The following is a 13,385-nucleotide window of genomic DNA, read 5'->3' as shown; positions in this document are numbered from 1 at the left end:
GACTTTGAAGGTGGAGGAATTCACATGGGAAAGGACTGAGAGTGGTATCTAAGAGCTGAGAGAGGCCCCTTTGGGGCCAGCCAGCAAAGAAACAGGGACCTCAGTACTACAATCACAAGGAAATGAATTCAGCCAATAACCACATGAGTATGGAAGCAGGTCACTTCTCAGAGTCTTTAGGTAATAACTCAACCCTGTTGACATTTTGATTTCTGCTGGTGATGCCCTGAGAAGAGAACCCAGTCTTGCCATGGTAGACTTCTGACTGCATAACTGTGAGCTAATCAATGGGTGTTGTTTAAACAATAAGTTTGTGGAAATGTGTTATGTAGCAATAAAAAAGCCAATACAAATATAGCAAGAGACTATTGTATTACTTTTAGTTGTTTATAGAAGGATGCTTGTCATATCTCCTTTTGCTTTATGAACAATTGTTTTTGGATTGGATCATAATAAAAGGACAACTGACACTGTGGCCTCACAGAGTGCCAAATACCATACCAATGCTTAACAACTGATATCTCATTTAGTGCTCAAAACCACCTCATGTGAGAGCCACACCCAGCTATCTCCATTTTACAGAGGAAGAAACTGAAGCTCAGAAAAACAAAGTTACATGCCTAAAGTCATTCAAGTAGCAATCGACAGAGCTGGGACTTGACAACAGGCTGCCTTTCTCTGCCCTATACAGAGGCTTGTGAAAAAATTTAGTGATTCCATTAGTATTCTTAACATTTAGAGTCTGAGAAGGGTTTAATGGTCTAGGTTATAAAACTGGACAATGGGAATAATATTCAAGGTTCAAGTTGTATGCCGTTTCTGTTTGGGATAGATTAGGGGATCTCTTGGGTATGATATCAATTTATTCTTTTGTGTTTTGTTGTAACCTGGACAAGGAGAAGGAATAAGAAAATGAAAGGTAATTGGAGGGAAATGGTTAGAACTAATAAAAAGAAATGAGCTTGATATGGGTTTAAAAGCAGAGGTTTAGTCACAGATGTATCCAATTTAGCAATTCTCTGTTTCATGTCCATTCAAGCATGGGCAGGTGTCCCTTATTCGTGTGTTATAGAAAGCTTGAGGCTGTCTTGTGCCAAGAAAAAAAAAAGCAATTAAATATTTTAATATTTCCTGTCTATAAACTGCTCCCTGTTTTATTACTTCAAATGCACTGGATTTAAAAGGAGGTGTGAAAGACTCCTGAGCCATTAATAAGAGGCTGCAGCTGCTTGTGGAAAGCGATGCTATGTGTTTTTCAAAGGCATGTTTTTGGTCTGAGCACCTTGGTCCACAGACTGTTGATTTATGATCGCCCTGAAACTGATACAGAGGCATGAGGCAAATACTTCAAGTGCTTCCAGAATATATTTGGGCAGAATACAGACAATGAGTTCCTTTCCTTGGGGGAATACACAAGGAAATAAAGGGAATAAATATGAAAGCAGTAGTTCAAAAGTTATGGTGCAATGTAGAGTGAGCACAAAAAAAGAAAATCTTTTGCCAGAGCAAGCCTGAGTCAGTGGTGAATTTCATGTGGGTTGTTCATAAGATTTTTGTTCTTGTATGAACAGAATGAACAGTAGGGACTTAGTGATTTATCTGAGTCTTTGAGAGCATCAAATAGAGACATACCCTAAAGTTAAAAGGTAAAAACCAAGATGTAATTCTATTTTTTCTTACAATCAGCTAAATGAAACCAAAAGACTATTTCCCAAAGGTCTTAAACTTTATTTTTTTGAAAAGTTCATTTTTCCTTTTCAGGAATGGTGTATAACAGAGGTCAAAGGATGCAGGATGTTGGAGATTCAATTCAATTCAGCAAGCCTTTGTTTAATGATACCCTCTGCAAGGTCATGTTTGGTGCTGGGAAAAATGCAATGAAGTCATTGCCTTCTCCCTCTGTCTTATGTAGGTGACTGGGCCCTTTGTATGGACATGTTGAAATCTTTTTGAACATGCTAGAAGGATGTTTCTTAAACTTTAGTTATTCCTGTGCCACTTTTCCAGTTTAGGCTGTGACCCACCTTATAATTTACTTAAATTTTTTTTTTTGATAACTCAGCACACAGTTTACTTAAATAGATTTAACCTCATCTTAAGCAATATTTGTGAAATCGCAGGGTTAGTATACTAGTTAGACCTTTTCAAATGCACCTTCAAATAATAAAGTTTTACAATATCCTTATCTTAAACCATTGGACTAGATGCATTTGGAAATTTGGAACACTTCTGAATGTCACAAAGATAATAATGTACATGTACTATATGTTATGTAGCACCACTATGAAGGTATGAACAATACCCAAGAATTAAAGATTAATATTTCCATAGTGAGACATGTGAATATTTGTACTAGGTAGAATGTGGAATAAGTTAAATAACCTCATGTCCGTTGGAAAATTGTTGGTTTTCAAGCTTTTTGTTTATGGATTTCATAACTGCAGATAAGGAATTGCAGGTCTGTAAGTATCATTTAAAGAAGTTTCTGTAACACAAAAAAACAAAGTTGTCAGTAAAGTTCAATGCATGAGTCATTTCATCTTTTTTTCTGATATATTACTAGGCTGAACTTTTTAGAAAATATTTTCACTCATGTATAAATATAAAGTACATTGAGTAAAGGCCTTAAAGAGCACCAATCTAAAGTACTTAGCTCAATGACTTTATGTATATATAAATTATATATATAATATATGTTATATATATTCCATGTAACCAGGACCCAGATAGAGATACAGAACACTTCCAGCACCAAAGCTTCCTTCAATCCCTTCCCTGACAATATCCCTCCTAGCCTCCACACTATGATAACCAGTTAACCAGTTTTGAGTTCTGTGAAAGAGCTCATTTAAATGGAATCACGCTGTACATATTCTTTGGTGTCTGGCTTCTTTCACTCAATGTTTTTTTTAAATCTTCAATTTTTATTTTAAGTTCAGGGGTACATGTGCAGGATGTGCAGGTTTGTTACATAGGTAAATGTGTGCCATGGTGGTTTGCTGCACAGATCAACCCATCACTTAGGTATTAAGCCCCGCATGCATTAGCTACTCTTTCTGATGCTCGCCCTCCCCCCAATCCCACCCTTTTCAGGCCCCAGTCCATGTCTTTCACTCAACTTAATGTCTGTGAGATTCTTCTGTGCTATTGTGTGTATCAGTAGTTAGCTCCTTTTTATTGTTGTGTAGTGTTCCTTTGTTAACTATTGTAACCTCTTAGAGTGTTACATGTAAATATTTTAAGTTAACACTATATTGGCATTGAAGTATGCTCCTTCTCTTCAAAAGACAGATAATCACCTGAAGAAAACTTTTATCAAGAAATTTGAAAGCAGCTGGCCATGCTCAACAAGATTGCACCCCTTTCAGCCGACTTAGAAAACACAGCTCATGTTGTGATGCTGTATATAAATAGCAGTTAGATTCATTTTTCATCTTGTTTTTGTCACTTTGGTAAGTGGATGCAAGCTGCTAGCTTCATCAAATTAAAAAAGAGACCAGGAGATTCTGAAGAAACATTTTGATTTAATTTTTGGATAGTGTAAAATTTTAGAAAAGGGAATTAAAAGCCCATATTGTTATCCAGCTAGATGATGATATGACATGAAAGAGTCTTTAGAATGAATTTTATACTAAATTTGGGATGGTGCTTTATGTTCAGGCCAGCTGTGCATGGAATGGAGTGAGCAGGGATGAGTTGGGAGCAATCATTGGCAGTTTTCTACTTCCTCTCAAATTCCTTCACAGTCTGGCTTCGTTTAAAACATTTGAGTTGGTGTGAATTACTGGAACATGAGAAGCACTCATTTTCAAAATACAAAAAACACATTCCAGAGGCGAATAGAAAGAATGATCAGATTTTGCTGCTTTAGATTGATAGGGAGAATAGAGAACTGAATGACCGAAGACAGATTGGAAATTCATTTGCTTGGATTCTCTTAATGGATTGTACTATGTCCTTGACAAAAACACTCAGCAGTGCCTATGCAAATGCTCACTATCCTTAAAAAGAAATCAAAGGGGCTAAAAAACATTTGGAGATCTTGTGTATGCATCAGATCCACATTATCTCATAAGAGGCAAAGTAGCAAAATCACATGTAGGTTCTGGGATCAGAAAGACTTGGGTTTAAAAATCCCTTCTCTGTCATTGTGTAGCTGTGCAAACTTACTTCAGTTCATTAATATATCTTATTCTCAATTTTGATTTTACTTGGCTTTTCTTTACAAGAAGCATTATCAGAAGTGAATCAATCTCAGGAAGGACCATGCCAGTGAATTTTAAAGTAAAATGTAAAGATGATTAAAGAACTCACTGCCTCTCTTTCATTGATTTATTTGTCTTTAGAGACAAGGTCTTGCTCTGTCACCTAGGCTGGAGTGCAGTGGTGTGAACACTGCTCACTGCAACCTTGACTTCCTGGGCTCAAGCAATTCTCCCACCTCAGCCTCTGAGTGTCTGGGACCACAGGCATGTGCTGACACGCCCAGCTAAGTTTTAAAAATATTTTTTGTAGAGATGAGGTCTCATCATGTTGTGCAGGATGGTCTTGGACTCCTGGGCTCAAAAGATCCTCCTGCCTCGGCCTCCCAAAGTGTTGAGATTACAGCCACCATGCCTGGCCTCTCTCATTTCAAAATACAGGAAGACCTAACCCTCAGTAGGCTGGGGTTACATTTCTACATCTTTATTTAGGAGCTTAAATATGTAGTAAACCATAGCTTTTTCTAGATCTTTCTTTGGCTGGAATTTGCCAGGGAATTTTCTTTTCTTTTCTTTTTTTAAAAATTTTTCTTTTTAAATTGTCTGATGTTTTTTGTTCTTTAATTTTTTTTTCAATTTTTAAAAATTTTTATGGGTACATAGTAGGTATATATGTTTATGGGGTACATAAGATGTTTTGATATAGGCATGCAATGTAAAATAACCACATTATGGGGAATGGGGTATCCATCTCTTCAAGCATTTGTCCTTTGAGTTACAAACAATCCAATTACAAGCTTTATGCCAGGGCATTTTCAATAATATTTAGCGAAAATGATTTTCCCAAGAACTCACCAAATACCAACAGAGCTAGCCATATGATTGTATTTCCTTGTCATGATTTTTTTTAGTTGAGTACTGGGATAGTTTATAGAGAGTTCATTATCCCAGAGGTTGAATATAGGGGAAGAAAAGGGGGTTGTGCAAAGAAACCCAAGTGAGCATTCATTACATGTAATTGAAAGCTAATCATCTCTTCATGGATAACTACTCTACAGAAAAGACCAGCCAAACCACTTAAAACCATCCACAAAGCTCGCTGGCCAGTTAGGACAATAATGCTGAAAAAATATTGCTATGCTCAATTTATTTGATTGCACCTTGTTTTATAGACTGCCTAATGATGAGTGCAGGTTCAAATTCAAATCAAGGAATTTTGCCTCAACAAATTCTTTTCTTCTGCTCTCCTGCACAAATCTAAAGATATTTATCATAAGAACTATATGTACCAAGATCTCACAGGAACATCACCACTGGGTCAGAAGCAAAATAAACTTCACCTGAGTCTGTCAAGAATTGTTTGATGAAATCATCTTTGGTCTGGGAGAGCGAGGTAATAACATATCAACTCAATTTTAAAGGTCCTGCTTACAGAGGACAGAGACAGCCCCCCCCACCCCCCAAAATGCTTTTATTTGCCCTGATACCTAAGATAAAGATTTTATTTTTCAGCAAAGTGATTAAAAATCCGGGTTTTTATTTAAAAATTCTGAGAGATTAGAGATCTAGCGAATTGTTTTTTGGTTTGGACAACAGTGACTCCTTTATACCACAAATATTTGGTAACACATTTTTATTTCTCATCCTTATTTCTCCACTGGAAAACCACTTTATGATAAATTCTGTAAATATTTATTGAAAAAATAAAATATACAGGTTTTATGCTTGGTGCTTCAAGTTTCAAGATGATTGTGTTTAAATCCCTTCTGCTGACGGCTCTTATATTTCTGAATTTGGCTCCCTTAAAATATTTTGTTTCATAGCCAAAGCCAAAAAACAAAACAAAACTATGTTTAAAAACACTACAGGGAAGAAGGAATCACTTCATTGCTTAGTTTTAAAACTACATGAATGACGTCGCTTTTGAGATGTGGAAATACCAGGGTAATTTTGTTTTACTAAAGGTGTATTTTCTTTTCCTTTTAAAGACATATAACAACTATTGTTTTTAACTGGTGAAAGAAAGAATTGGGTTTGGGGCTTTTCATGACCAGGTTAAGTAATTCAGAGCCTTGGTGCTAACAATGAAAGTGAGATTCCCTTTCACGGAAGGGCTGGCCCATTTGAAGTTGATGATTCCAGTCTGGCTGGTCCAACAGGTTTTTATTTCTTAAAGCTTTGAGCACCATGAGTCAGAGGGAGAGGAAGAGAGAGGGAGGACATGAGCTCACTACAGAGAGGTTGGTATTAGAGGAGAAGGGAAGGATTGTTTGTTGGACCCAAACCAGAGAAAGGAGTGGCTGTTATTGCAGCATAAAGCAATGAGCACTGTAGGGGAGCAGCTGAGCTGTTTGTGGAGTCAGCTTCAGGGCCTCAAGGCTGAACTTCCACAGGCAGCAAAAGCATGAGTTACCAGCCTGAAGTGTGAGCTGGTTTTAGAATCTTGTCCCAGTTTTTTTTTTTTTTGGTAGAGATGGGGTCTCACTATGTTGCCTAGGCTGGTTTCAAACTACTTGGGCTCAAGTGATCCTCCCACCTCAGCCTCCCAAAGTGCTGTGATTACTGGCGTAAGCCACTGCACCTGGCCCCCCTCTTTGGTTTTCTCTGCCTGGAAACTTGAGTTGAGAGGCGGGTGTCTCGCCTCTGCCCTTGACTCACCGACATCACACTTCCTTTCATCTGAGTGCTCTCTGAAGTGAGGTCACGTTGGTGAGCTCATCTATATTCAGGAGCCAGAAGAGCAAAGGAGAGCTTTTGCATGTGAAGATCTGCCTGGATGGAAGCTCTGATGTGATGGAAGCTCTTACTACCAATTGGCCAATGGTTCAGATTTTCTTAGAACTAAACTTTTTTTTTGGTCCAGATATGCTAATCAAATGAAAAATGAATTAGGCTGGGATTTCCTCTTCGTAGTCTAACCTTAATGAAAGGAATAATGAGAGAATCTATATTAAATAGGACCCTTTTCATACAAGTAACAGAAATGCAACCTCAAATGTCTCCTTTTAGTGCAGGCAAAAGGGAAGAGCAAAGGAGAGAACTGGGTCTGCAGGATCACTGGAAACAGAGACTTACATGCCTTCCAGTCTCTCTCTCTTTTAACTTTCACTTCTTTTCGACATGTTTTCCTACAGACCTCCTCCACAAGGTTACCTCCTTCTCAGACTCAGATCCTAAGCCTTGATATCAGAGAAGGATTGTCCCGTTTTTGTAAGTCCCAATTTGCAGATACTCAGGAAGGTCCAGCTCAGGTCACACGCAGCCTCTCTGCACAGTGGATGGGCTCTTGTGATTGGCAGTTCTCATGGGAACCATGTAGTGGCGTGAGGGAAGATGGAAATAGGAATGGGTGGGTCTGTGCCAGAAAAGGGAAGGGTGCTGGGCAGATGAAAGAATACATACCTATTACTACACAGAAAAAGGACTATATGTTTGTATTAATCACAGTTCTCTGGAGAAACAGAACAAAAGAATTTTTGATAGAATGTGGCTTATGTGATTATGGAGGCCTAGAAGTTCCATGATATACCATCTGCCAGGTGGAGAGCCAGGAAAGCCAGCGGTGTAATTTAGTCCAACTCCAAAGGCCTGAGAACCAGGAGAGCCAAATGTGTAAGTCTCAGACTGATTCCAAAGGCCTGAGAATGTGGTGGGGGCAGGGAGGGCAATAATGTAAGTCTCTGTCCAAGTCTGAAGGCCTGAGAACCTGAAGTACTGGTGTCTGAGGGCAGAAGAAGATGGAAGTTCCAGCTTAAGCCAAGAGGTGAATTCATCCTTCCTCAGCCTTTTTTCTTCTTAAAAGGGCCCTCAAAGGACTAGCTGGTGTTCATCTGCATTGGTGAAGGCATCCTTTCTCAGCCTACTGATTCAAATGCTCATCTCTTCTGGAAACACTTTCCCAGACACACCCTGAAATAATGTTTTACCTGCTCTCTGAGTATCCTTTAGCCTTGTTAAGCTGACACATAAAATTAACCATCACAAAGATACAAAAGAAGAAATTTTAGTCGAGGTTGAGTCTGAAATATCCATAAAGTACATTATTAAATGAAAAGTATGATTACATCTTTCTGGTTAAATTTTAGCCTTATTAGTGGGAGGGAATATATAGCATTGAATGTTCATTTCATGATGAGATAAAAAAAATGAAAGAAAAATAATTTGGCTGATTTCTTTTGAAAGAAAGTGCAGATCTCTGATGACTCCATGCAAGCTTTGGGTTAAATTTAAAGGTATCTTCCTAATGCCGGGGGAGAATCTCTGAGCTTCGTGACTCTGGGTTCTCTGAAGATGGCTCTACTCTTGAAGGTGTTAATCACATGAGACTTTTGTAAAAATTCAATCAATTTCATTTCTCTGTAAGATGCTTAAAACTATGCCTACAAGTGGGCAGTATAACATTTCATTTCATTGTCTTCTGCAAATGTTTACTATTTGCTATCTATATAATCACTGTATGTTTCAATGGATTTGTTTTGCCTAAAATTATTCCCTAATTAACTCCACTAAGAAAGCAAAAAGGTGTCAAGTTCAGGTTTTTAAGTGGAAGTTGAAGCCCTGGTCAAAAGACAGAGAAAGATTATTTGAAGCATTTAATTGGTTATTATCCAGGTTGGGGAGTGAGTGTGATCTTAACGGCAGTTGAGAAAGATTTTTGAGCTTGGACGAAAAGGTGGAAAAGGATTGATTGAGCCCAGGAATTTGAGGCAGCAGTGAGCTATGAAGGTGCTACTGCACTCCAGCCTAAGTGACAGAGCAAGACTGTGTTGTGCAAACAACAACAACAACAACATCAAAAACCAAAGACAAAAAAGAATGTAATTATACATTTGGTTAACACTAGAGTGTTTTATTTTTGATAGATATTCAATTTATTTTAGGTCTATTAAATATATTTAGACTGTAAGTTTTATATTGTCATTTGATGGAAATTGTGTATTTCACTGAAATTTTACAATTTAAAACATTGGCTTGAGACACAGCCAAAATTGCTGAATAGGAACAGCTCTGGTCTGCAGCTCCCAGAGAGACCAACGCAGAAGGCGGGCAACCCGCAGACCAGGAGATTCTTTTGTGTGCCTACATGACCAGAGCCCTGGGTTTCAAGCACAAAACTAGGCAGCTGTTTGGGCAGACCCTGAGCTAGCTGCAGGAGTTTTTTTTCATACCTCAGTGGCACCTGGAACCTCAGCAAGACAGAACTGTTCACTCTGCTGGAAAGAGGGCTGAAGCCAGGGAGCCAAGTGGTCTTGCTCAGCAGGTCTCACTCCCATGGAGCCCAGCAAGCTAAGAACCACTGGCTTGAAATTCTCACTGCCAGCACAGCAGTCTGAAGTTGACCTGGGACAATTGAGCTTGGTTGGGGGAGGGGCATCCACCATTACTGAGGCTTGAGTAGGTGGTTTTCCCCTTACGGTGTTAAGGAAGCTGCCAGAAAGTTCGGACTGGTTGTAACTTACCACAGTGTGGCAAAGCAGCTGTTGTCAGACTGCCTCTCTAGATTCCTCCTTACTGAGCAGGGCATCTCTGAAAGAAAGGCTGCAGTCCCAGTCAGGGGCTTATAGATAAAACTCCCATCTCCCTGGGACAGAGCACCTGGGGAAGGGGCGGCTGTGGGTGCAGCTTCAGCAGACTTAAACGTTCCTGCCTGCTGGCTCCAAAGAGAGCAGAGTATCTCTCAGCACAGCGCTCAAGCTCTGCTAAGGGACATACTGCCTCCTCAGGTGGGTCCCTGACCCCCATACCTCCTGACTGGAAGATACCTCCCAGCAGGGGTTGACAGACACCTCACCTCATACAGGAGAGCTCTGGCTGGCATCAGGTGGGTGCCCCTCTGGGATGAAGCTTCCACAGGAAGGAGCAAGCAGCAATCTTTGCTGTTCTGCAGCCTCTGCTGGTGATATCCAGGCAAATAGGGTCTGGAGTGGACCTCCAGGAAACTCAAGCAGACCTACAGAAGAGGGGCCTGATTGTTAGAAGGAAAACTAACAAACAGAAAGCAATAACATCAACATCAACAAAAAGGATGCCCACACAAAAAACCCATCCAAAGGCCAAAACTAAAAACTCTCAATAAACTAGCCATTGATGGAACATATCTCAAAATAATAAGAGCTATTTATGACAAACCCATACCAATATCATACTGGATGAGCAAAAGCTGGAAGCATTCCCTTTGAAAACCAGCACAAGACAAGGATGCCCTCTCTCACCACTCCTATTCAACATAGTATTGGAAGTTCTGGCCAGGGGAATCAGGCAAGGGAAAGAAATAAAGGGTATTGAGATAGGAAGTCAAATTGTCTCTGTTTGCAGATGATATGATTGTATATTTAGAAAACCCCATCATCTCAGCCCCAAAACTCCTTAAGCTGATAAGCAACTTCAGCAAAGTCTAAGGATAGAAAATTAATGTGCAAAAATCACAAGCATTCCTATACACCAATAATAGAGAGTCAAATCATGAGTGAACTCCCATTCACAATTGCTACAAAGAAAATAAAATACCTAGGAATACAACTTACAAGGGACATTAAGGACTTCTTCAAGGAGAACTACAAACCATTGCTGAAGGAAATAAGGGAGGTCACAAATGAATGGAAAAATATTCCATGCTCATGGATAGGAAGAATCAATATCATGAAAATGGCCATACTGACCCAAGTAATGTACAGATTCAATGTTATTCCCATCAAACTACAAATGACTTTCTTCACTGAACTAGAAAAAGTACTTTAAATTTCATATGGAACTGAAAAAGAGCCCTTATAGCCAAGACAATCCTAAGCAAAAAGAACAAAGCTAGAGGCATCATGCTACCTAACTTCAAACTATACTACAAGGCTACAGTAACCCAAACAGCATGGTTCTGGTACCAAAACAGATATATAGACCAATGGAACAGAACAGAAGCCTCAGAAATAACACCACACTGGAAAACTGAAACTGGACCCCTTCCTTACACCTTATACAAAAATTAACTCAAAATGGATTAAAGACTTAAACCTAAAACCTAAAACTATAAAAACCCTAGAAGAAAACCTAGGCAATACCATTCAGGACATAGGCATGGGCAAAGACTTCATAACTAAAATGTCAAAAGCAATTGTAACAAAAGCCAAAATTGACAAATGGAATCTAATTAAACTAAAGAGCTTCTGCACAGCAAAAGAAACTATCGTCAGAGTGAACAGGAAAACTACAGAATGGGAGAAAATTTTTGCAATCTATCCATCTGATAAAAGGCTAATATCCAGAATCTACAAGGAACTTAAACAAATTTACAAAAAAAAAAAAACATCAAAAAAAGTGGGTGAAGGATATGAACAGACACTTCTCAAAAGAAGACATTTATGCAGCCAACAAACATATGAAAACAAGCTCATCATCACCGGTCATTAGAGAAATGCAAATCAAAACCACAATGAGATACCATCTCATGTCAGTTAGAATGATGATCATTAAAAAGTCAGGAAACAATAGATGCGGGAGAGGGTGTGGAGAAATAGGAATGCTTTTACACTGTTGGTAGGAGTGTAAATTAGTTCAACCATTGTGGAAGACAGTGTGGTGATTCCTCAAGGATCTAGAACCAGAAATACTGTTTGACCCAGCAATCCCACTACTGGGTATATACCCAAAGGATTATAAATCATTCTACTATAAAGACACATGCACATGTATGTTTATTACAGCACTATTCACAATAGCAAAGACTTGGAACCAACCCAGTCAATGCCCATCAATGATAGACTGGATAAAGAAAATGTGGCACCTATACACCATGGAATACTATGCAGTCATAAAAAAGAATGAGTTTATGTCCTTTGCAGGAACATGGATGAAGCTGGAAACCATCATTCTCAGCAAACTAACACAGGAACAGAAAACCAAACACCGCATGTTCTCACTCATAAGTGGGAGTTGAATAATGAGAACACATGGACACAGAGAGGGGAACATCACACACTAGGGCCTGTTGGGGGGTGAGGAGGAAAAAGGAGGGTGAGCATTAGGACAAATACCTAATGCATAAGGGGCTTAAAACCTAGATGATAGATTGATGGGTGCAGCAAACCACCATTGCACATGTATACCTATGTAACAAACCTGCATGTTCTGCATATGTATGAACTTAAAGTATAAAATAAAAAATAAAATAAAATAAAACATTGGCTCTCAGAATTATTTCTAGAAAATGATCTCCTATGGAGTACTCTAGATGATGTTTCTTTCCTCTATTTAGACCTTAATTTATAGACTTTAAATTGTTTTCTCTTTATTCATACTAGAACAGAGAGAAGTCTCTTTTTTAAATCAGTCTTTGTGATCAGGCAGGGTGTGTGGATTGACTTAGGTTTTCCTCATGGACACTTCTGGTACTTGACAAATTCACTCCTCAGATTCATACTGTAGGATAATTTGATTATACTAGTACTTGCTGGACAGTTCTCCTTGCCCACCTCTCAGGATCAGCCAGGCATTCATCTAGGGCAGCTTTGTGCACAGAAAAGGGACCAGGACTTATCCTTACTTTTTTATTCTCTCAACAAGCTTTTCTTGATGTGTTTTCTGAAAAATGCTTGTTATGTAAGGTATTAAGAGTTGTTATGTGAGAAACTTATTTTCCAGGCAAAAGGACTTAGGCAATGATGGATAAAAATTTAAACATGATTACTTTCTGCAGAATATCACAAAATTGTTACAGGCACTTTGAACATCCAGGAAGAGGCTATGGATCTCTTCCCTAAATTCTTTGTTCACAAAATCTTCTAAAACATCCTTTCTTCTATGAACTTTACCTGGGGAAAAATTTAAACATGATTGCTTCCTGCAGAATATCAAAATTACTACATGCATTTTGAACACCCAGGGATAGGGAATGCATCTCTTCCCCAAATTCTTTATTTGCAAAATCTTTAAAAATATCCTTTCTTCTATGAACTTTATTTTGGGAACTCCTGCTACAGATAAGAGTACTTGGAAATCTACAATTCCAAAAACAAATGGCTGGAATGCTTTCTGTACATCCATTTCTAGAACGTTCACCTATTTTTCTCTTCTAATTGGTCTCCAAATAGTTGAAGGATAATGCAGAGAGAAGAGCCGATGGATTTTAGCTGCCTCAAAATCCCAAATAGTAGCAGGAAACACAGGTCTGTGTGTCTAGAAGTCAGAGAAAAG

At 38.8% G+C, this 13,385-nt stretch overlaps 1 long non-coding RNA gene across 2 annotated transcripts, besides 1 other annotated feature; it reads right to left on the bottom strand.

Moving 5' to 3' along the window:
- Nucleotides 1,195-1,395: a silencer, noted in NCBI's record as "peak1873 fragment used in MPRA reporter construct". NCBI's record gives its function as "represses an SCP1 promoter by STARR-seq MPRAs in K562 erythroleukemia cells {active_cell/tissue: K562}" and the evidence as "EXISTENCE:reporter gene assay evidence [ECO:0000049][PMID:32103011]".
- On the bottom strand, nt 2,404-10,035 carry LOC105378255 (uncharacterized). 2 transcript variants are annotated; one of them, XR_945169.1, is made up of 2 exons: nt 9,994-10,035; nt 2,404-2,485 (listed from the first exon to the last, which is right to left on the bottom strand). It is a non-coding gene; the product is annotated as an uncharacterized LOC105378255 (long non-coding RNA). The 2 variants fall into 2 exon arrangements; XR_945170.2 differs by lacking the exon at nt 9,994-10,035 and adding an exon at nt 9,662-9,732.
- Nucleotides 10,036-13,385: the final 3,350 nt, after the last annotated feature.

The sequence above is a fragment of the Homo sapiens genome, chromosome 12, assembly GCF_000001405.40.
Source record: "Homo sapiens chromosome 12, GRCh38.p14 Primary Assembly".
NCBI lineage: Eukaryota > Metazoa > Chordata > Mammalia > Primates > Hominidae > Homo > Homo sapiens.
Note: the sequence above shows the minus strand (reverse complement) of the source record. Positions and strands in the feature narration are given on the sequence as shown.